This window comes from Homo sapiens, chromosome 5 (assembly GCF_000001405.40).
Source record: "Homo sapiens chromosome 5, GRCh38.p14 Primary Assembly".
Lineage (NCBI taxonomy): Eukaryota > Metazoa > Chordata > Mammalia > Primates > Hominidae > Homo > Homo sapiens.
This window is the reverse complement of record NC_000005.10, coordinates 179,269,790-179,293,612: the sequence shown is the minus strand read 5'-3', so window position 1 is coordinate 179,293,612 and position 23,823 is coordinate 179,269,790. Positions and strand designations below refer to the sequence as shown.

The following is a 23,823-nucleotide window of genomic DNA, read 5'->3' as shown; positions in this document are numbered from 1 at the left end:
AACCCTACCCTGGAATGCCAACTCCGGTGCTTGTCTTGGGCTGGGATCTATGGGGCACTGGCCTGTTCTGGCCTAGCAATGGGAGGCTGATGTCCCACGCTTGTCCTGGGCTGTGGCCCGGAGGCGTTGGCACACTCCAGTCCACATGGGAAGGCCATGTTCCCTATCTGTCTAGCTCAGCGCACGGCTCTGACTCACTGCAGTTAGCAGGGAAAATACTCTTCACATTGAGATGTCAGTTTTCACTTCAAGCCTGATTTCTGATCCATAAACAAAGCCTGCAAGAATCAGAGGCTGCTCATGTGGGAGTCAGCTAATTAATCTGACTTTCCTCAAGGAAGGCACAGGCCGCTGCCTCTTTTGTGAAGATTAGCACTTTTTAAGGACGTGTGAGTCTGTCAGGACAAAGCAACACCAATAACGTTCCTTATTTTCGGGGAGCAGAGGAAAGTGGGGTCAGACTGTCTTCCCCGTGGACAAGGAGGAGCGGCTTCAGGTTAGCACTTACACCAGTGCTGTGAGTGAGAAGCTGTGGCTGTCACCAAGGTGAGGTCATGGCTGCAGGAAAGACGCTTCCCACCCTCTCCCCCCAACAACAGAGGATGTCCCAAGCCCAGGGGACCGGCCAGCGTAGCTCCTGACAACCTCTAGGAAAACAGGAGGGCTTCTCTTTGGATGGCAAAACTGACCTCAACTCACTTAAGCAGAAGACAATTCAAGGCAGGCTATTGGGGGGCTGGGGCTGGAGGCCTGGAAATGGGGTACCTTGGAGGGCCCCAGCCAGGACCTCAGGAAGCCGTCTGGGCAGTGGTCTGCACTCCAGGGTGGGGTGGGAGCTTGGATTGGCCCTGCTTACAATGGGCTTCTCTCTCAGATGTATCTTGCAAGGAGAGAGAGTCACCTTGGGCAAGCTGACTCCCACCCACCCAGGCCCCTTCCTGACAGTCCTTCTAGGCTGTTCCCAAAGGCATGGCTGGCTGTCCCTAGGATACATGGGGCCCTGGGCATATATTTCCTGCAGGACTCCTGTCTATATAGACAATTTGATTAAAAAATTTATAACAAGATTCATGAGCCCACATGGGGAATAGCAAGATGTATCAAGGAAGATTTAGGGGACGGGGAGGAGAAGCACGAACACATTTGCTCACTGTCTGCTCAGTGCATGCAGAGACCCTCGTTACTGCTCAGGCTCAGGAGCTATCTCTTCCTGTTCTTTATGGTCGAGTGTGCTGTCCCAGCTAATTTCATATTTATATCTCCCACAGCTGGGGGGTAATAGCAAAGCTGTTACCGCTCACAATGTGTGGCTCTTTGGAACCTGTTTGTGTGGAGATGCTGTATATCTTCTTGCCCCGCATTCCCCAGCCCCATGTATTTAGTGCTGGTTGTGGCATTTCTCCTGACTCCGCCGCTTCTCTCTGCCCCCGGGAATGCCGGCTTCCGTTGTTCCCTTGAAGGTGGTTACCGTGCTTCATTAATGATGACCACCAATGTGGATCTTGCCCAGAGTGTGCAAGAAAATGTGAGCCATACGTCCTCATCTGGTCGTGTTAAATTTAATGTTTGGGCCAGGTGTGGTGGCTCACATCTGTAATCCCAGCATTTTGGGAGACCAAGGCAGTAGGATTACTTGAGCCCAGGAGTTCAACATCAGCCCTGGCAACATAGCAAGACCTCATTTCTACAAATTTTTTTTTTTTTTTAAATTAGCTAGCTGTTGTGGCACACGTCTGTGGTCCCAGCTACTTGGGAGGCTGAGTTGGGAGGATCACTTGAGCCCAGGGGGTCCAGGCTGCAGTGAGCTGTGTTTGAGCCACTGTACTGCAGTGGGTGACACAGTAAGATCCTGTCTCTAAATAAATAAATAAATAAATAAATATCGTTTGGACCTTTATAGCGAAGGGAAGAACCACACATCTTGCAGCCTCATCTTCCCCATCAGTCCTGAGGCTGTTACTTCTGCACTCCCAGAATTCAACCTCGTTTAATGGTGGGCACACTCCCGCCTTCCACACTCTGCCACCAGCAGGCAGAATGACAAGAGAAGAGGGATCCCAGTTGTGACAGGCATTCCATCCCTCTGCAGACCAGCCTGGGAGGAGAGCATGATGTCCAGCACGGCTTGGAGGCAAGAGAGGACACGGGAAGGGTCGTGGCATTGCAGGGCAACAGCTTCCCTCTGAAAGCACTCCAAGCAGGTGGATGCAGCCAGCCCTGGAAGACTGCCCGGAAATGACACGGAACCTTTGAGGGTGTGGGCCACCGCCCTGGGCACCAGTGACAGAGGCACAGAGTGAAGGATGTCTGCTGCCACTGCCCACCCCTGAACACCAGAGCCCGGAGGTGGCCCCACAGCCGATGCAGGAGCCCACAAGTGCCACTCAGGCTTGAGGCTTGGGCAGCTGTATCCCAGAGCCCCGCACTCATTCTGTCTGATGTGAGTGGGAATCCTCAAAACCCACGTGTCAGCATCATGCTGGTGGCTCAGTCCCATTCACACCTGTGAAGGAAGTCCCCTCCTGGCCAGTGAGGGTGGCTCGCTCATCAAGCCACTCACTGAGACCTGAAGCAACCTCATAGTCAACAGCCCTAGAGCTCCTGGGGCATCCGTGGCCCCATGCACAGGGCAGAGGGTTGGAGAGTGCCCTGAAGGGAACGGCAGGGCCCACAGGGTGGCTCAGGCATAGGCCCTCTGCACAAGAGCATTGCTCCGGCTACACGGTTCTCCCTGGTGTTCCTGGAACACGCCAGGCTTGCTTCCTTCTCAGGGCCTCTGTACTTGCTCCCCGATCCCTGGAACCTACCACCTTCTACAGGACCTGCTCCCTGGACACTGGGGATGCAGTGGGCGCCTCCACTCCAGGGAAAGGCAGCCAATGTGAAGAATGGACCGGCCAGAGAGCACTGAGGGAGGCTGGGGCCCAGTTTTATTTTTATGTGTTTAAAGTTTTAATTTTGAAATAACTTTAGATCTATGCTGTCTTGGAAAAATTGCAAGAAAAGTTGCAAAAATAGCATAGATTTCCTCTGTGCCCTTCACCCAGCTTCCTCCGTATGCAACGTAGAACAAGGACTGAAACCAGGAACTTTGTAGGTTGATACTAAGCGTTGGTACTTAGTGTCTTAGTTTTAGTCTATTTTGTGTTGCTATAATGGAATACCTGAGACTGGGTAATTTATAAAGAAAAGAAGCTTATTTAGCTCATGGTTCTGCAGGCTGGGAAGTTCAAGAGCATGGCCCTGGCTTCTGGTGAGGCCTTTTTGTGCTGTGTCATAACGTGGTGGAGAGGGTCAAAGGGAAAGCCCATGTGTGCAAAGAAGGGAAACCCAGGGAGTGTCCTGCTTTTATAACAACCCAGGCTCGGGAACTAATCAAGCCTCTCCAGAGCAAGAATTCCCTTGCTACCTTGAGAACAGTATCAAGCCACTCACGAGGGATCGGCCTCCATGATTCAGATACCTCACCCCAGGCCCCACCTTCCAACACTGCCACACTGGGGACCAAATGTCAAGATGAGTTTTGGTGGGAACAAACCAGTCACATTCTAACCGTAGCACTCCAGACTGCACTGAATTTTGTCAGTCTTCCGACTCATGTCGGTTGTCTGGTTCAGGCTCCCCCTCAGGATCCCACGTGGCATTTAGTTGTTGTGTCTCTCCCGTTTCCTCCCATCTGAGGTTTCATGACCTGGATGTTTTTGAAGAGGACTGGTCAGCTGTTTTGTAGACGGTGCATCCCCATGGGTTTTTCTGGTGTGCCTTGTACTGGCTTGAGCTTACGTGTTTCTGGCAGGACTGTCACAGAAGCACTGTGCCCTCCGTAGGGCACCACGCTGGGACTGTCACATTGGGATGTCCAGTTGTCTCCTATTGTCAGTGATGCCCTTCTTCATTTGGCTAAGGTGTTACCTACTGGGATTCCACTGGATGCCCCGGGAGCTCTAGGGCTGTGACTGTGAGGTTTTTTCAGGTCTCAGATGAGTGGCTTGATGAGCAAACCACTCTTTCACTCTTTTTTCCCATTGCGATGATTAAATCTCCCGTGGGTAGCTGCTGTGACGTGATGTGAGCATTCTGTTTCTTGTTATCCTTTTGCTCACTAATTGTAGCCTCCACGGATAAGTCGTACCTGCCGCAGTCCTGACTGTGCTGTTGCCGATGGGGTTTACTACCATGATTTTCTATCTCATCATTTCTTTTACATTTTTAGTTGAATTACCCTGTGAGAAAGAGCTGCCCTTCCCCTCCCACTTATTTATTATTCAGTTATTTGTTTCTACCAATACTGATCTGTGGATATTTATTTTATTCAATGGGTTCTAACCTATTACTATCATTTATTATTGTGTTCAAATTGCCCCAGATTTGACCACCGAAAGCACCTTCCAGCTGCCTCCTCCATCGTTCCGCTGTGCTTGGGTGTGATTTCACACGGGGCGGTGGGACAGGCCGTCTCTGAGCAGGGAGTGTGGGTGTGAGCAGAGCCCTGCAGGAGGGGCGCAGTCCTGTGGCAGTCAGAACCAGCTGGGGGGCTGCAGCCTGCTCTCGGGGAAGGCCTGGTATGCACAAGGTCAGCACCTGGCCTGGAGCTGCCACCTGCTCACCTGTCTGGTTTCTGGTGGGGGCCCTGAGATCCCGGGCTTGGCACTGCCGGAGGGCGGGGCTGTGCTGCGGTATGGATGCCGTGCCGTGCTGTGCTGTGCAGGCAGGGTTACTGGACATAAGCCTGGTGTGGCCTTTCATACCCTGGGGTGCCACTGTCTCCCAGTGTGACACCTGGTGGCCTTGTCCCTTGTGAGGACCAGGATCTGTGGGGCACTTGATCCCATGAGTTCAGTCTCCCCGAATCTGTAGTGGCATCCAGGGAGGGCAGGTGCGCCTGAGCCTGCCTGCATTCTGGATACGGCGCCTTTGGTCATTGCTGGCCTCGCTGCTCCGGCTCTCCAGTGGGCCAACCACCCACAGAGGGGCCTAGGGCCCTGGCGGCTGCTGTCCTGGCTCTAGAATAAATACACATCCCAGAGTCACCAGTGTGGGCTCACCAGTGCTGGGGCCCTGCCCCCGCCCCTCCCCCGGAGCCACCCTGGGTGGGTGGGGACACGGGCTGGGCAGTGTCTGAAGGCCTGCAGAGCAGCCTGGCCACAGCCCAGACAACCTGGCCCTCAGAGCCCTGGCTCTTCCCATAAATAAACCAGACAGGATCCTTCGTCAGATGGTATGGCCTGATTTTTGTTTTGGGAACTCTGGACAGAAGGGGAAGCAGACAGCCTCGGGCCTGGCAGGGCTGCCCGCCCGGGAGTGGCAGCTGGGCAGGCGGGCAGAGGACGGTCGGCGGTCAGCGTGCCCTGGATAGCACAGTGGGCCCCAGAGATCACAGCAGGAAAAGAAGCCCAATTCAAAGGAAGCAGGAGTGAGGCAGTGCACAGGCTCTGTGTGTGCATGAGGCCGGAGGGGTCCTGAGAGGGGCCTGTGGCCCAGGGACCCGGGGAGATGACAGCCTGTGATGGAAAGTGAAAGGGGGGGTCCTCTGGCTGGGAAAACTGCCTGATCTGGGCAGCTTTGCACAAGCAGACATGGAGGACATGCCCCACTGAGTCTCACCATCAACTCTCAACTGCAGCCCCCTCTGGGGGAACCGAGGCTTTGAGAGAGGAAAGGCTGATCCTTGTTGCACAGTGGAGTGGGGGGACTGGCGTTGGGCGGGCTGCGTCCCAGCCTGTGCTCTCCCCATGGGAGTTCCTGTCTGCCCCTGCTTCTAAGGGGGACGTCCGTCGGGTAGTGTGTCTTCCCCACACTGCTGGGAGCCAGCCAGGCAGCTGGGCCCTTGGTGGGCACTGGTTTCCCTCTGAGCACCTGGCCCCTCCTGGAGGAGCACCCGCTGTGGGAAGGAGCAGACCCTGCCTCCTGGGTCCTCGAGACTGGGGACCTGCTCTCCGGGCTGAGCTGCCACAGAAAGGGTATTGGATGCTGTTCAAAACACGCCACACATCTAGAATTGCATACCCCGTCTTCCAACAGCTGCGTAGACTCAGCCTTGGGATCGCCCAGAAAATTCTGGGGTGCAGTGGGCATGGGGAGTGCCCCCACACGGGAGCCTTAGCCAGCCTCTCTGCAGGAATGTGAGACACCAGCCTCAGCTGGCTCCAGTCGTGGGCTCTGGAGCAGGGCTCCTGCTGGACCGTGAGAGAGTGGCCTGCTGCTGGCGGAGGGGTCCTGAGGCCCGTCCACCACCCACCGGCTGTGCAGCATTCTTGTCTCCCTGCGCCTGCACTCACTGCCCCGTGTCCCCATGTGAGAATGCCCAGTTTAGAAGGAAGGGTGAGATGGGCATCCCATGTGGCCAGCCCTGGGCGGGCTCCTACTTCCCTGGAGTGGCAGCTTTCCTCCATGCTGGATTTCTGGCCCCTGGGGAGTGATCCTGGCATTGACCTTCCGGCCTGTCCAGAGTGGCTCCCCAAGGAACAGCCCGCCCAGCTCTGGCCACCGGACCCTGCCAGCAGCCTGCTCCGATTCTGTGTGGACTTGGCGCCTGGAGGCTGTTATGGGCTGAGTGACGCCCTCCCTAGATCCCCCAGTTCCTTTGTTGAGGTCCTAAACTCCCGTAGATCAGGATATTGGCTGTATTTGGAGGCAGGGTCTTTAAAGAGATAATTAACTGAAAATGAAGTCACTGATTCAACATGAATGACTGGTGTCCTAAGAAGAAGCGATTAGGACAGAAGTACACACAGGGGGACGGCCATGTGAGGACAGGGGAAAGATGCTGTCGACAAGCCAAGGAGAGAGGCCTCGAGAGAAACCGCCTCTGCCCACACCTTAATTTTAGAGCTCTAGCCTCCAGGACTGTGAGAGAATAGGTTCTGCTATTCAAGCCCCGGCCTGTGCTGCCCTGTGATGGCTGCCCGAGCAACCTAGGGAAGGCGCCGGCCCCGACCTTTTGTGGGAGGGGGTGCTGGCAGTCTACCTGGGCAGCATCTCCTGGTGGATGTGGGTGAGCCTGCTGTGAATGCTGGGGGACGGTCCTGGGTCCCCAGGCCCTCAGTTCTTGGAGTGCAGCCTTGCAGGGTTTGGTTGCTCTCCAGGGTGGGTCCCCTGGGGAATCTGGTAAGGAAGCATATGTTGGCAACTCCCAGACATGTGCCCCTGCCACCCCAGCCCCCTGAGCAGACAGACCCACCGTGCCGGCTCTGTCTCTGGGAGTGCTGGTGCTCAGGCGTGCTGGTCTCCTGGGCTGGTTGGAGGAAGGGAGGGGCGGTGTGTGCAGACCTCCAAGGAGGCAGGGAGGCTGGCAGGGAACAGCTGTGCAAAGGTGTTAGGTTCCAGCTGGTGTGGGCAGGTGCCAGCCCAGGGGAGGGCCTGTCGACAGGGTCTTTTTTTTTTTTTTTTTTTTTTTGAGACAAGAGTCTCTCACTCTGTAGCCCAAGCTGGAGTGCAGCGGTGCGATCTTAGCTCATTGCAACCTCCGCCTTCTGGGCTCAAGCGATTCTCATGCCTCAGCCTCCCGAGTAGCTGGGACTACAGACGCCCACCACCATGTCCCGCTAATTTGTTGTATTTTGGTAGAGACAGGGTTTCACCATGTTGCCCAGGATGGTCTCAAACTCCTGACCTCAGGTGATCCGCCTGCCTCGGCCTCCCAAAGTGCTAGGATTATAGGCGTGAGCCACCGTGCCCGGCCTGTTGGCAGGATCTTGAATGGGGAAGTTGGACCTTATTCCATGAGCTCTCCTCCACCACACGTCTCAAGGCCACAATCTGCTGTGGTCCAGCTGGTGAGACATGGAAGCTCAGAAAGAAAAATCTTGCTTTTTGATAGTTTGGCAAATGTTCCTGCAGCACGAGTCATTTTTCTTCTTTAGTAGAGAGCGCCCTGTTATTTATGTGAATGTTAATTTGTGACTGGGGACGTTCCCCGACGTGGGCTTCATGCTGAACGAGACCTGGGAAATGTCAGCCAGAGAATCTGGCCGGGACGAGTGTCAGTTCTCGTCACAAATAGGCAGGCCTGTTGCAGTCCCAGAGTCTGGGTCTGACCCACTGACCTCTGTGTCCTGGCTGGGTCTGGCTGGCCAGCTCTGTTTCCTGGAGGCTACCCCGGCATTGGTGTGTGCAGGAGCCATGGAGATGGGGGAGCTGGCTGCAGAGGGCTGAGTGTGGGACATTCTGGACAGGCCAGGTCCCGAGGGAGCCACTCAAGCGTTGCTTGATTTAGCAGAAGGCCGCCTGGCTGGCCCCTGCGCTGGCCCCGTGAGGCATTCTTGTCGGCATCTTGTTTATTCCATTTTCCCCCTTATCTTTCTCTCTGTGCTCTCCCCCTTTCCGTCTCTCCTGTCTTCACATGAATTGTCTGTTTTGCTATATGCCCTTTGTAAAAATGTAAAACAAAAAAAATACAGAAAATATTAATAAAAAGTGAAACTCACCCCCGATCGTAACACTGCTGACCCTTTGTTACGCGTTTCCTAACAGCTGTCATGCCATGATCATCATGATGGTGATGGTGCTGCCAGTCGGCTGATTTATCACGTGCTGTGCCCAGTGCTAGAGACGCAGTATCTCGCTTAGCCCTCACATCAGCCATGGAAACCCTGTTATTATCTCCATTCAACCCTGCAGACACTGTCCACAGAGAGGCCACTCAGTCAGAGGTGAAGTAAACATTTGAATCGAGGCAGAGTGACTCGGAGGCCACATGCTTAATTATTAGACTGTGCTGACGTTTGGCACAGAGATATACATGATTTTACGTAAGGAGGTCATGCTGCAGCTGGGCTTGCCGCCTTCTTCGGTCACCAATATGTCATGGGTGTGTCTGTTCCTTAAGTGGTCAAAAAATCTGAGAAACTCTTTTAGCCTAGCATAAATCTGTAAATTTTGTAAAATTATTTTGCAGGGCATAGAGTGTTATTGAAATAATCTGACTGGCTGGGAACGGTGGTTCACACCTGTAATCCCAGCACTTTGGGAGGCCGAGGTGGGCGGATCACCTGAGGTCAGGAGTTCGAGACCAGCCTGGCCAACATGGCGAAACCCCGTCTCTACTAAAAATGCAAAAATTAGCCAGGCATGGTGTTGTGCACCTGTAATCCCAGCTACTTGGGAGGCTGAGGCAGGAGAATTGCTTGAACCTGGGAGGCAGAGGTCTCAGTGAACTGAGCTCAGGCCACTGTACTCCACTCCAGCCTGGGTGACAGAACAAGACACTGTCTCCAAAATAATAATAATAATAATCTGACCATTTATTGTTTTTGTTGTCTGTTTTTGTTTGTTTGTTTGTTTTTGAGATGGAGTCTCACTCTGTTGCCCAGAATGGAGTGCAGTGATGCAATCTCGGCTCACTGCAACCTCAGCCTCCTGGGTTCAAGCAATTCTCCTGCCTCAGCCTCCCAAGCAGCTGGGACCACAGGCGCGTACCACCAAGCCCGGCTAATTTTTGTGTTTTTAGTAGAGACGGGGTTTCACCATATTGGCCAGGCTGGTCTTGAACTCCTGGCCTTGTGATCCATTCGCCTCGTCCTCCCAAAGTGCTGGGATTATGGACGTGAGCCACTGCGCCCGGTTGGATTTTGGGTTTTTTTGAGACAGGGTATCTCTCTGTCTCCCAGGCTGGAGTCTCCAAAATAATAATAATAATAATAATAATAATAATAATAATAATAATAATCATCTGACCATTTATTGTTTTGTTTTGTTTGTTTAGTTTTAGGTTTTGGTTTTTTTGAGTCAGGGTCTGTCTCTGTCTCCCAGGCTGGAGTGCAGTGACATGATCTCGGCTCACTGTAACTCTGCCTCCTGGGTTCAAGTGATTCTCCCGCCTCAGCCTCCTGAGTAGCTGGGATTACAGGTGTGCACCACCACGTCTGGCTAATTTTGTATTTTTAGGACAGATGGGGTTTCACCATGTTGGCCAGCCTGGTCTCAAATTCCTAACTGCCTCAGCCTCCCAGAGTTCTGGGATCACATCATGCCCAGCCTACATTTATTGTTATATATTTGTTCTTACTTCTGTCATCTAATTTATGTTTTCTGTTTTTCTGGATTTTTTTTTTTTTTTTTTTTTGCTGTTTTTCTAGTCTACCATATTTTCTATATGGTCTGCCTTCAGTCATTTGGAAGGTATACATTAGTTTTACTAGTTGTGACTTTTCTAATTTTGAGTAGAATTCTTCAGCTTGTATCTACTGATTTTAGAAACTTACCAGTAACTGTTGATGCTAACTGAAGATTCTGAAGATTAGGAAACGAGTGCAATTAAACTGTAATTCCTTTTTTCTTCCTCTACTCTTTGTCTGATTGTTGTGGGCTTGTTTGGCAATTTTTTGCCTGCCCCCATTTATTAAAGTTAAATTATGAATAGTTTATATATTACATAGCTTTTTTTTTCCAGAATATATGCTAAATGTCTTCTGATTTGTAACCCTCATTATCCCTGTAGCATAGATGCAGAGGGCAATTCCGCTATTTCGACCTGTGATTTCCCCACTTGCCAGGTGTCTCAGTTTTAAAGTCAAGTCCAGGCTGCGTAAAGTGGCAGGTGGGGGGTGCTGGGGAGGGATGCCAAGCAGAACTGAGACAGACGCTCTCGAGGGCATTCTCTAGCAGCAGGGTTGAAGCCATCCCTCTGTGCACCCTCTCCCAGGGCCCAGAGTTGCTCACAGTGGCTCACCTGGTTAGTTGATAGACTTAGGGCTCCCATCTCAAGATGACATGGTTTTACCGTGTTAGCCAGGATGGTCTCAATCTCCTGACCTCGTGATCCGCCTGCCTCAGCCTCCCAAAGTGCTGGGATTACAGGGTGTGAGCCACCATGCCTGACCAAGCCCTTGGTTTCTAATGCAGAGTTTCTTTGTAGGCCAATGTTTCCTAAACATTGGCCTAGGAGGTGAACTAATGGGTACCAAACATGACTCCAGAATGCATTTAATTCTATCAAATCCCAGCTAGCTTTGTGGCAGAAATTGACAAGCTGATCCTAAAATTCATACAGAAATACAAGGGATCCAGACTAACCAAAATGCTATTGAGGAGAAGAACAGAGGAAGGGCTCATGCTTTGTAATTCTAAGACTTACTACAAAGCTGTAGTAATCAAGACTGTGTGGTGTTGGCAGAAGGATAGACATATAGATTGGTAGAATAGAACTGAGAGTTTGGAAATACATCCTCATATTGATTCTTGACAAAGGTCCAAGACAAGTCAGTGGGGGAAAGAATGGTCTTTTCAACAAATGGTGTTGGCACACCTGGATATCCACATATGGAAAAATGAAGTTGGACCCCTTCCTCACACCATACACAAATATTAACTGTAAATGGATGGATCATAGATCTACATGTAAGAGCTAAAACTATAGAACTCTTAAATAATGTAGGAGTAAATCTTTGTTACTTTGGATTAGGCAAAGTCTTAGATATGACACCAGAAGCACAAGTGGACAAAAGAAAAAAATAGGTGAACTGGACTTCAAGAAAGTCCTTCATGACTTCAGTGGACACTAATAAGAAAGTTGAAAAGACAGCCCACAGAACAAGAGAAAATATTCATAAATTGTATATCTAATAAGGGATTTGTGTCTAGAATATATAAAGAGCTCTTACAGGTCAATAAAAAGAAAATGGTCTTATTAAAAATAGGGAAAGTATCTGAATGGATGTTTCTCCAAAGTTAAATAAATGACCTATAAGCTCATGAAAAGATGCTTAGCATCATTAGTTGTCAGGGAAATGCAAGCCGAAGCATGATGGGACACCACTTCACACCTGCTGGATAGCTAGAGTCAAAGAGCCTAAGAATAATGAGTATTGGTGGGGATGAGGGGAAATTGAACCCTCACACACTGCTGGGGGCACTGAGAATGGTCCAGCCCCTGTAGAGGACAGTCTGGCACAGTTACTGTATGACCCAGTAATTCCACTTTGAGAGGAATGAAAACACATGTCCACACAAAAACTTGTCCACAGATGTTCATAGCAGCATTATGCATAGGAGCCAAAAACCAACAACCCACATGTCCATCAACCGGCAAATGGATAAATAAAATGTGGTATATACATGTGATGGGGTATTATTTGACAATAAAAGAGGAATGAAATACTGCTATATGCTACACCATGGATGAACCTTGAAAACATACTAAGTGAAGGAAGCCAGTCACAAAAGGCCACATAGCATGTGATTCCACGTATATGAAATGTCCAGAATAGGCCAATTCATAGAGACAGAATGTAGATTAGTGGTTGCCCAGGGCTGGGTTGGGGAGGAGAGGTTGGGGAAAACATGGGGAGTGACTGCCAATGTGTACGGGGTTTCTTTTTGGGGTGATGAAAATGTTCTAAAATCAATAGTGGTTATGGTTGAATTGTTCACTTTCAGCATATAGTTTAGATGGCTGAGATGTATGGTATGGTAATCACAGCACCATAAAGCTGTTATATATTAAAAAGCATTGAACTGGCCGGGCGCCATGGCTTATGCCTGTAATCCCAGCACTTTGTGAGGCCGAGGCAGGTGGATCACCTGAGGTCAGGAGTTTGAGACCAGCCTGGCCAACATGGTGAAACCCCATCTCTACTAGAAATACAAAAATTAGCTGGATGTGGTGGTGTGTACCAGTAATCCCAGTTACTTGGGAGGCTGAGGCAGGAGAATCGCTTAAAAATGGGAGGCAGAGTTTGCAGTGAGCTGAGGTTGCGCCACTGCACTCCAGCCTGGGTGACAGAGCGAGACTCTGTCTCAAAAAAAGAAGAAAAAAAGCATTGAACTTTATAATGAAAAATGATTCCCTTTTCAGTTGCATTTTAAACTCTCTGGTTGAGTCGAGGGGAGTCTCAGTTTGGTGCTGACAGATCTTTACCAGCTCTCTGCTACTTACTGACCTCTATAACAAGAGAGAAGGGCAGCGGTGTAGGCTTTGAGGTGCAAATAGAAGCCCGGAGAGAGAGGAAGACACTGGGGGTGCGCCCAGGGACAGACGGCTGCTGGGACCCCATGGAAGGCCTTGCGTGCCATGGGACGGCCTTGGCCTTTATTTTACAGGAGTGGGTTTCTGGTTTTTGGTTTGGTTCTTTCTCCTTGGTCCTAGTAGAGTTTTAGAAGGATGATCGGTACCTGCCAACGTGTGCGGGGTTTCTTTTTGGGGTGATGAATAAACAGGATAAGCAGTAATTCATAGGTTACGTAGTCCAGCTCCTCAGTTTGCAGATGAGGGAACTGGGGGCCTGCAAGGGGGCAGGACTGGCCATGACCGCATTGGAAACCAGGGCCCCTGGCTCAGCGTCCAGTGCTTACTCTCCCTGCCTGCCTCGCCCCCCACCCTGCCCTTCAAAGTGGAGTCTAGCTTTCCTTAGAGCCTCGCTGGGCATGTGACTGTCGGGGCTCCTTGGTCCTGTTGGAAATTGGCTCCGGCCAGCTTAGGCCAAAAAAGAGACTTTCTGGAGTAAAGGTCTGTAGGGCCTGAAACCAGGTCCAGGGAAGGTTAGAGTGGCCAAGCAAAGTCATCAGGTTCTGTGGAGCTCAGAGGCAACTCTGTTGTGGTCACTGTGCTCAGCAGAACCCTGGAAGGCCCAGCTCCAGCCATAGCTCCAAGACAGAGCCCTAGACAAGGGGTCGCTCTCCAAGAGGAAGGACGGGAGTGGCTGGCACCTGGCGAGGATCCCATGAGACAGAGGAGGAGCTGGTGGAGATGCGGGTGAGGACAGCTGTTTCCTAACCCCATGGACAGCTCCTGCCCGCTGGCGTCCCTTTTGGAAAAGTGGAAAAGTCAGTGTGTGAAATCCTCTGGGATGCTGAACTGTAAAGGAGCCCCCAGTGGTGAGGACCGAGTGGCTCAAATCCCACTCGATACTTCCCACTCCTGGGACTGTCCAGTGGTGAGGACGGAGTGGCTCAAATCCCACTCAATGACACTTCCCACTCCTGGGACTGTTCAGTAGTGAGGGGTCCAGCCCCCTTCCCTGAAAGCTCCCAAGGTTGTTAGAGACCTCCCTGGGGAGCTGGGAGAGGCAAGAGAGTGCCCGAGCAGGCTCTGAGAGGAGGCGCCCTGGGAACTGCAGGCACTGTGCAGCTCTCCCTGTGAGACCGTCATTCCACCAGGCAGCTGTCACAGCAGGGGAGGCTGCCTGGCCATTGCCCCGTTGTCCAGCAGATCTCCCAGGTTCATTACCAAAAGGAAGATGGGGAGAAAGAATCTTGGAGTTAGAATACTTTCAGGAATGGGAATCTTAGCAGATGCCAGCATCTGGGGGACTCTTGGCAAGGTGCGTGCTGTGTGTGTATTTCGGAGGGAGGTGAGTTTGAGGGCAACAGGGACTTGCAGCCTTGTCCCTTGGCAAAGTCTGGGTCCCTCTGTGCATGGACCTGTGTGCTTCCTATGCTTTGTGCCTTCTATGCTTGATTGTTGCCACTGCAACCTTGGCACACACCTGACAGTGTTTATGCTGGAGGTTGACAAGGTTGAGTGACAGACCAGGTCCCAGTCATACACAGGTGGGAGGCTGCTGATGGCTGCAGCTGTGGCTTCCATGGGAAGGGGCAGTGGGAACCAGCCAGCCTGGGTGCTCTGCAGAAGGAAACAGGATGCATGCTTGTGTTTCCTGTGAACCCCTAACTTCCAGGCTGTCTGTGGTTGAATACTTAAAAATTCAGAGTAATAGAGGAGAGCTGTTAAGCCTTTGGATCTTTATAAATTTTTAACATCTAGTTGCCATTTCTAGTAACTACTTTACCATCAATCCAACTGCAAAGGAGCAGGTTCTATAGAAGGAAGAGGCAGGGCAGGCGTTGTGTAACTCACCAGGATCTGAATGCCGGCAACTTGACTTGATGACCCGGGTACTACCAGGCTCTGGGCCCCTGCGGTGGCACCTGAAGGTCAGGGACAGAGCCCTCCCCATGATCCTCTCTCTGTCCCCCAGGGGAGAACCTGGCTGGGTTTGCCAGACATCCACAGACTTCAAGAGCAGAGTGGGACTCACACTTAGAGCCAGGTCGGGGTACCAACCTTTCTGTAAGACCCCAGGCTGGACAGCTGTGGGGTTGGACAGACAGGCCACCAGCAGGCTCCCAACTGAGTGCTTTTCAGCCTAGTGTGCTTCTGGAGTTTCTTTAATATTTATTGAGTGGGGAGAGGAAACTGATTCTAATTAATAAAAATTACATGTAAAAACAGATACACTTGACACTGGCAGCAGGAAAATCAAAGTCCCGGAAAAAAATGCAGCAAAACATAGCTCACATTTTGTGCTTTGCTCTCCTGTCAATTTTCTTCTGTGTGTTTTAGACAGATCATTCCTGGGATGCATATACTGAAGTGTTTGAAAATCAGGGAATAAAATGATCTCCACTTCTTCCGTGAAGTGCCCCCCGCCCCGAGCATTATTCTGGCCAGCGGTCTTGGCAGGACGTCAGCTGATGGTCTTGGGGGGGTCAGCCTTTGGTCTCGGGGGGGTCAGCCTTTGGTCTCGCGGGGGGTCAGCCTTTGGTCTCGGGGGTGGTCAGCCTTTTGTCTCGGGGGTGGTCAGCCTTTGGTCTCGGGGGGGTCAGCCTTTGGTCTCGGGGGGGTGTCAGCCTTTGGTCTCGGGTGGGGGGTCAGCCTTTGGTCTCGGGGGGGGGGTCAGCCTTTGGTCTCGGGGGGGGGTCAGCCTTTGGTCTTGGAGGGGGTCAGCCGTTGGTCTCGGGGGGGGTCAGCCTTTGGTCTCGGGGGGGGGTCAGCCTTTGGTCTCGCAGGGGGGTCAGCCTTTGGTCTCAGGGGGGGTCAGCCTTTGGTCTCACGGGGGGTTCAGCCTTTGGTCTCGGGGGGGGTCAGCCTTTGGTCTCGCGGGGGGGTCAGCCTTTGGTCTCGGGGGCGGTCAGCCTTTGGTCTCGGGGGGTGTCAGCCTTTGGTCTCGGGGGGGTTCAGCCTTTGGTCTCGCGGGGGGGTCAGCCTTTGGTCTCGGGGGTGTCAGCCTTTGGTCTCTGGGGGGTGTCAGCCTTTGGTCTCGGGGGGGTCAGCCTTTGGTCTCTGGGGGGTGTCAGCCTTTGGTCTCGGGTGGGGGGTCAGCCTTTGGTTTCGCGGGGGGGTCAGCCTTTGGTCTCGGGGGGGTCAGCCTTTGGTCTCTGGGGGGTGTCAGCCTTTGGTCTCGGGTGGGGGGTCAGCCTTTGGTCTCGGGGGGGGGGGTCAGCCTTTGGTCTCGGGGGCGGTCAGCCTTTGGTCTCGCGGGGGGTCAGCCTTTGGTCTCGGGGGGGGGGTCAGCCTTTGGTCTCGGGGGGTGTCAGCCTTTGGTCTCAGGGGGGTCAGCCTTTGGTCTCGGGGTGTCAGCCTTTGGTCTCGGGGCAGGTGCCACCATGTTCATCGTCCAGCATGCGTTGTGCGCATCGCACGGTGGTCAACAGAGACGGGCGGGGCTGTGAGGAGCATGTTGAACGTCTGTGTTGGAGAATGCCACCGCTTGGAGGCTTCTGGCTGTGTGAGGAAGCCTGAGCCCAGGCCCTGCTTCAGATGGACCCCAGTGTGCTCCTGTGCCCTCCGAGGAGTCGCCTGCAGGGGTGCCCTTCCAGGAGGCAAGGCCCAGGGCAGCATCAGATGGAGCTAGTGCTGTTGGCTCAGCCCAGTGATTGTCCTCAGGGAGGCAGCCAGGGAGGGGAGCCTGACCCCTGCTGGTCAGGGAGACCCCAAACTGTCCCCCGGGTTACTCCGGCCAGAGAGTACTGCCCTTCCCCAGGCTGAGCCTGGCCTCATTGTCACACTAGGTCCCTCCAGAATAACCCCAGGGCCTCAGGCCTGTGGCATCGATGGCTCCCGACCTGGGCTGCAAGTTCCCCCAGAAGATGGAGCTGCCATAAGGGGTCCTCATGCCCCAGTGTCCTGCCCTAATTGGCTCAATCGGCCCAGTCTGGCCCAGGGACCTGTCTGGGAGATGCCCTTTCCGTGTAGGTGTGAGTTCTGATCCCTAGAACCTGTGTGTCCCCAGCAGCCTGTCTGCCCATCTAGGCCTCGGTTTCCTCATTTGGAAAGCAAGCTGGCTGGATGAAATCACTTGGGTGGAGGCGTGGCCTGGTTCTCAGTGTCTCCCAGGCTGCATGTGCTCCTGTGTGAGTGTGCACGGGAAATGACCTGCCTCATGTACAGACGAGTCACTGGACGCTTGGGGAGCTTGACACCTTGCCTGAGGTCACCTGGCCAGATAGAAAGGGTGCCAGGAAGTCAGAACTTCACGCTCCAGGACAGCTTGCCCGCTGCCGCCCCCCAGGGTTAATTCCTGCACTTCATCCAATGAGTTTCAGTCATAAGATGGATTTGAGGCACCAGCCTTCTCCACACCACGCACCGGGACCATCAGTGCTGGACCCTCCCAACTCCTGCACTGGTAAACACACTGCCCCTGTGCCAGTGGACAGGCCTGGCTGTGTTCTTCCCGCCTGCCTGCTCGGTGCCTCCCTTGGGGGACGTGGCCTGCAGCTTTGGGGTCATCGGTTCGCTCATTCCACAGGCATCTGCTGAGTCTTCGCCAGGCCTGGTTGAGCCCTGAGACCCAGGGATGAGTCAGAAGCGTGGGGCCTGCAGGGTTCCCACCCCCTCTTCCGCTCTCCTCCCACAGCCCTGCTGACCTCCTTCTCCGACCTCGGTCTTGCCCTGGTAACTCTGGTTACCACTGCCTCCTAGGCCTCTTCCCCAGAAGCCCAGGATGCCTGAGCCCAGAGGGTCCTGCGCCCCTTGCCCTTCTTCTCATGCCCCTCGGAGAATGGCACCCACTTTGCCGGCCACCCACCAGGACCCTGAATTACTTTTCTGCGGCTGCTGTAAGGAACCACTTAAAACAGCAGGAATTCGTTCTCTCACAGTTCTGAGGCCGGACGTCCGAAGTCGGTATAACCTGACCCAAATCCAGGCATCGGCAGGGCTGCGCTCCCTCTGGAGACTCTGGGGGAGGACACTTTCTGGCCTCTGCCAGCTCCTGGGGGCTGCCAGCATTCCTTGGCTTGAGGCCACATCGCTCCAATCTCCAAAGCTGGCATCTGGCATCCTCCCTGTCTGCCCATGGCCTCGTCCTCTGCGCATCTGCCTAATCCCCCTCCACTCCCCGGCATAAGGAAGTGGGCAAGGACTGCATTCAGGGCCCAGCCAGCCCCAGAGCTGACCTGATCACACCCGCAGAGTCTCTTTCCACCATGTCCACTACCCTCACAGCTGCCAGGGATGGGGGCCTGGGTAACTTTGGGGGCCGGTTCTTCAGCCACAGACCTGGAAGCCCACCAGGTGCTTCCTCCTCCCTCCCATCTCAGCCGGCTCTACCCTACCACGTCCTGTCCATTTCGCTCCTCACCTCCTTCATACCTGCCACTCGTCCTTGTCTCTCATGCTCCCGTCTGGACCATTACCCCTCTCCCAGGTGCCTGTAACACCTTCTCCCCAGGACCCCAGACCCATTTTTGTTCCGCAGCCCATTCCCCCTGCCGCAGCCACCATGCTTCTGAACTGGAATCAGATCAAGGCTCCCCCCAGAAGCCCTGGGCTGCCTACAATCTCCCTCACCAGCCCCCTGAGTGATGGGCCACCGGGCACCGTGCCCTTGATGCTCCTGTCCACCCACCTGGTCAGCTCTTCCCACCAGCTGTGCTCCGTCCACCTCCCCGGCCATGGCATGTGCGGTTTCCCCCATATGGAGCACTGGTCCTCTCTCTGACTCTTTGCCTGGCCAGCACAAAGGGATTGGGTGGGTTTGGGTAGATGTCACCTCCTGCCGGAGGCATCCTTCATTCTGGAGCCAGGCCTGATGCTGGGCTCTGTGTTCCTCCAGGCCCTGCACCTCCACCAGCCCCTGCCTGGCACATCAGCTTCCCGAGGGCCCAGGCTGAGTGCGCCGGGAGGCATCTCCAGCCTCCCTCGCTACACTTGAGGCTAGGGGCAGCCGCCCAGCAGGCCCTGGGGGGCACTGACTGCATCTCGGTCTGCAGAGGCTCCCAGCCAGCAACAGGATGGGGCTCACCGAGCACCTGGGGTCAGGGAGAAGGAGGGGCAGCCCGTGCGCCACCGTGCCCCCCCACAACCAAGATGATGATATGGCAGAGGCCATCATGAGGTTACTTTGGGGGGGGTGTGGTTTCCGCACATCCAGATGGCAGGTGCCGGGGGCTGCCCACCAGAGGGCACACTCCTAACTGGACAGGGGACCCCGGCCAGCGCCAGCTAAGCTGGAGTGTCGATGGGTGCTGGAAATGCCAGCTTTTCTGATTTTCAAGAGAGTCTGGAAATCTGGTCGTTTATGTGAACTCTCCTGTTTCTTAAGTTTGGCAACAAATTCAAGCTTTTAAAATCCCCTGCATGGGTCATAAGCTTGTGATCTGAAGGAAACACTCTGAAGGCTGGACACAGTGTGCACTTCCAGTGTGAGACCTTGGTTTATGGATAATGGACCAGAAGATAAAAGTGTAGGAGCTGGAGTTGTCATGGGATGGGTGGACCTGATGGTGCCAGCAGGCTGGATGGCAGGGTATGGCAGGGGAGGGCAGGGTATGGCAGGGGAGGGCAGGCTGGATGGCAGGGGAGGGCAGGAGAGGTGAGGGGGTCTGAATCAGGCCTCGAAGGGGGAACACAGGTTTACCAGATGGCCGAGCTGGGGATGGGGTGGTGGGGTGGGAGAATGGGGATTCCTGAGTTGGCAGCATGGGGTTCAGGGGCTGGGTGGCTCGGCAGGGTGCACCCAGCCCAGTGAGAAGCATGGGGTGGTGCAAGCCGCGGTCTGGGAGGGTGGGGCAGGCCAAGAGCCTGAATGCCAGCATATAGAGCAGCCTGAGTCCCAACGGAAATGAGGACCCAGCGAGGAGTTTGTAGTCAGGGAGGGTGCTGGCTGGCCTAGGGGGTCAGGGGCAGCAGTTCAGCTGCCTGTAGAGTCTGGGCTGGTGGCTGACACAGAGAGCAGGAGAGACAGTTGGGGGGCAGTAGGGACTGGAGCCAGTTGCAGGGGCATGTGTTCCATCCAAGACCCGCTGTGGTCAGGGCCTGCGTTTCCAAGGAAAGCTGGGATTCCATGTTCAAGACATGAAATCTCATCATTCTGAGTGTTAGCTTCAGAGCTTTAAAAATATTGTTTGGCCCAGATGGAACATGTGTGTGGGCAGATTCAATCCCCGGCTGGCTGTTTTGACCTTTGTCTTGGACTCTGGGCTCCTGGGAGTGGGGGCAGCACTTGGCCCATATTGATGCACTTTGGTGGATGCCCTCCTGGGGACACGCACAGGCCCACAGCTGCCCTTGAATGTCTCCCTGCTTCTCTGGACGGTTTTGACTTTATAAACACAGTAACTTTTCTGAAAGCAGACAGGGTTGGTGTATAGGGGTGGAGATGACCCAGACAGAGGCCCCTTTCCTAGACAGGGTGGGCGGCGGGGGGCGGCCTCTGGGACCACATGTTCATACCCTCCGGCCAGCCCAGGGTTCAAGCTGAGCACCAGCTGGGGTGCTGGGCAGGGTCTTCAGGTGGGAGGTACTCCCTGAGGGGGTCTCCTCGCTGTTCCCCTTCCTTGGTCTTTTGTGTGCTGGAAATCTGATCCTGTTGTCTTTGTCCCGCAGGCTGGTCTGATCCGGATGGAGGAGGAGGAGTTCTTCATCGAACCCTTGGAGAAGGGGCTGGCGGCGCAGGAGGCTGAGCAAGGCCGTGTGCATGTGGTGTATCGCCGGCCACCCACGTCCCCTCCTCTCGGGGGGCCACAGGCCCTGGACACAGGTGAGGCTACTGCAGGTGGGCAGGCTGTGTGGAGAGCCCTCTGAGGCCCTGGTCCCCAGGGGAGCATCCCAGAGACTCAGGCAGCTCTCCACAGACCAGCTTGGCTGCTGAGGCTGAGCCCCGGTCTCAGTGGCTCAGAAATGGGCCAGCTGCCTGGCTGACGGCAGGGCGTAGCAGGGCTGCTGGGGCTGGGGCCTCTGTTCTGGGTGCATGTGGGTGACAAGCAGCCCAGACACCTCTGCCTTCATGTCTGGGGCCTCCATGGTGGACTATGAAGGCTGTCCAAGGGCCCATCTTCTGTTGCCTAAAGGCAAGCAAGTGTCGTGGAGCGGGGCGGGGGCCCCCGGCCAGGCCTGAGTCCAGTGCCTGCGTCTCTGAGTCTGTGCCTGTGAAGAGGCCTCCAGAGCCCCAGACAGCGCCTCTCCTGCTCTGTGCTGCCATGGTCCCTGGGAGGGTGCCTGTGGTAGGTCCCAACCCTCACCTGGCTGCTCAGGGAGAAAGGCCCTGCATGCTCTTTCTGGATCCCTGGAGGCATGTGCCCTACAAGGACTCTGGAGGTGCTCCCAGCAGCCTCAGCAGTCTCTGCACAGACTCATGGGCGTCTGTCTTTTTCAACTCAGAACCCACGTGTGCCCTGGGCCCAGAAACGTGAAAGGAGCTGCCAGGCGGCCATGGTGACAGTCCATGACTGTCGCCTCAGATCTGGCCTCACTGTGCCAGCCCACACCTCCCAGCATCCCCCAGTCTCTGGTCCTGGATTGTGGTGAAGCCAGGGTTGGTGTCTGATGTGGTTCTGCAGGCCCATAGTTCTCAGGGTCCCCCGTGTGGTCAGGGACTCCTGGCCTGTGCTTGGCTCTTGCTGGGAGAGTGGGAAGCTGCGAGCTCAGCCCTCAGCCTCTGGTCAGGACCCCTGGGTGAGGAGAGTCTGGAGTCTGGGGCCCAGGATCGGGCACACCTGCACGTTCACAGCGAGTGCTCCAGGGGCCTGGGCTGGGCCAGCCCCCGTGCTGTGATTTACTAAGGTACTCCCGTCACTCCATAGCAGCCCCGCCTCATTTACTGTAGGTCTGTCTGACTTCCTAGCTTGACAGAAAAATTGGGTACAGCCTGGCAGGCATACTTCTAATTTCATGAAACGGCATCAGATACCTTTGCAAAGGAATTGTTCCATCAGGAAGCCCAATGTACTCTGGAGCCAATCAGTGCAACCGGTGGCCCCTTGTTCCTTGGTGACAAATCAGCGTCTGCTATGCTGCAGACAGCCGGGCCACTGGGTACTGCCTGCCCAGCCTTTTCCAGCTGTGGTCTCAGCCTCGACTTATCCCCACCCTTGGACTATTTTGCAGGGAAGGAAGGAGGAGTAATCTAGGAGGGCCAGCGTGGAAGGGGCTGAGCGAGTGCTCCAGACCCGGGGGCAGGGCCCCAGCTTTGCTCCTTGCTAGCTAGCTGCTGTCGGGCAAGCCCAGTGGCATTAGCAACCCCTGTGTCCCCGAGAGCTCAGGGGCTGGTCACTTGTGCTGTGGGCTTGGTGCTTCTGGCTGGCCTCTCCTGGAAGATTCAGGGTGGTTCTGGGGGCCTCTGCTCAGGCGAGGTGAGCTGGCCACGTGCCCTTGGCCATGTCTCTGATCCCAGATTCCATATGGTGCTTGTCTTCCTGAACATGGCAGCCCTTCCCCCACAGCCTGGCCGGCCTTGCCTTATTTTCTGGGCTTCTGCTGGTGTTTGGCATCTTCTGCTGAATCCTCCCTCCACCCCCACCCCCAATCCACATATCTTTAATGAGAACTTGAAATTCAGAACACAGGAAAGGAATTTCAATCTCAGAATAAGCCCAGAAACCATTGGCCTTAGAAGACGCTGGGTGAGGCCAGCTGCCAGGTCAGGGGTGAGGCTGGGCTGGAAGGTGGGGGTTTGGTAATGGGCTGTCGGGGAGGAGGTGAGCCTGTCCAGCCTTAGCTCCAGGCCTGGGGCCCAGGCTGTGGATGTGAGCGTGGGCCTGGGGCTATAGGTCTGGATCCCAGAACTTGGGGCTGGGGCCAAGTCCCCTTTGCTTGATGTTCCTGTCTGGTGTCAGCAGACCCTGCATGAGGGGCTCGGGCCTTCAGTGAGCTAGCTCCCACGCCATGCACCTAATCGTTCCCACGTGGCCCTGGGCTGAGATCGACACACTGACTGGAAGGGCACCAGGCCCAGTGAGTGCCGGAGCTGGGTGGAGGGCCCACGGTGACCTCAGGCGTCCAGCTTTCCATCTGCCTGGGCCTTTTCAGGGCCCAGAGTGGCAACTGGGAGATACATAAAAGCTGTGTCCTGTGGCCAGGCATAGTGAGGGGCACAGCCTGCCTGGCACACAACTCCAGGACCTGGGTGCGGGTGTGTGTGTATGTGTGTGTGTGTATAGGGGACCCTTTCTTCCAGTGAATTCTGAGGGAACCCTGATATATCAGTGTGGCCCTGGCAGAAGCTGGCAGGAGGTGCTGGCTGGCAGTTTCTTCCTGCCTCCCCAAAAGCAACGTCTGGAAGTGGGTGTGAAGCACCCTGCTATTTATGTTCTGCCGGGGAAGGTGACACACCTGCCCTGGGTGTCCCAGTGGGGGATGGGCATCTGTCTGGGTGGCAGGATATCCCTGCAGCGTCAGGGGTGCCTCCTTTTCAGGATGTCCTGTTTTCCCCGAGAAGCCCACGGGCTGCTCAGGGTGATCTCGGGGACTCATGGAGCCTCAGGGAATCATTTTCACTAATAGTCTCTGTCATCCAAGATCAGTTGCTGGATTGCAGATTGCCTGGGGGAAACGGATAGAAAATGACGGTTTTAAAGCATTTCACAGACAGGCCAGGGATGAGTGTGTGCACTGGGCAGCTTAGGCAACACCCGGGAGAGGATGTTATTAGGAGGGGCAAGGGGTGAGGGAGCGGGGAGGGTCCTTTTCTCTCCTCCCTGGCCATGCTGGCCTTGGCAGAAGGGTCCTGCTCAGTGCTGCTGGCCTGGGAACCTGGCCAGGACCGGAGGCCGAGCTCTGAGGCTGGGTGGCCTTTTGGGGAGCAGTGGTTGAGGTGTCCCCCCAGGCATTCTGACAGGCATCTCCAATCCCTGTTCTCTGCCCTTCCCAAGGCCAGCTCTGTG

General features: G+C 54.7%; 1 protein-coding gene across 3 annotated transcripts in view; it reads left to right on the top strand.

Annotated features, from left to right (window-relative positions):
• Positions 1 to 23,823, top strand: part of ADAMTS2 (ADAM metallopeptidase with thrombospondin type 1 motif 2) — a 234,609-nt gene that overhangs the window by 51,849 nt on the left and 158,937 nt on the right. For 2 of the 3 annotated variants that reach the window (NM_014244.5, NM_021599.4), the window contains exon 3: positions 20,549 to 20,702. In NM_014244.5, coding sequence (NP_055059.2) covers positions 20,549 to 20,702 — 154 coding nt within the window. Of the gene's footprint in view, positions 1 to 19,401; positions 19,470 to 20,548; positions 20,703 to 23,823 lie in introns of those variants that run through there. The other variant, XM_047417895.1, reaches the window with a different exon arrangement.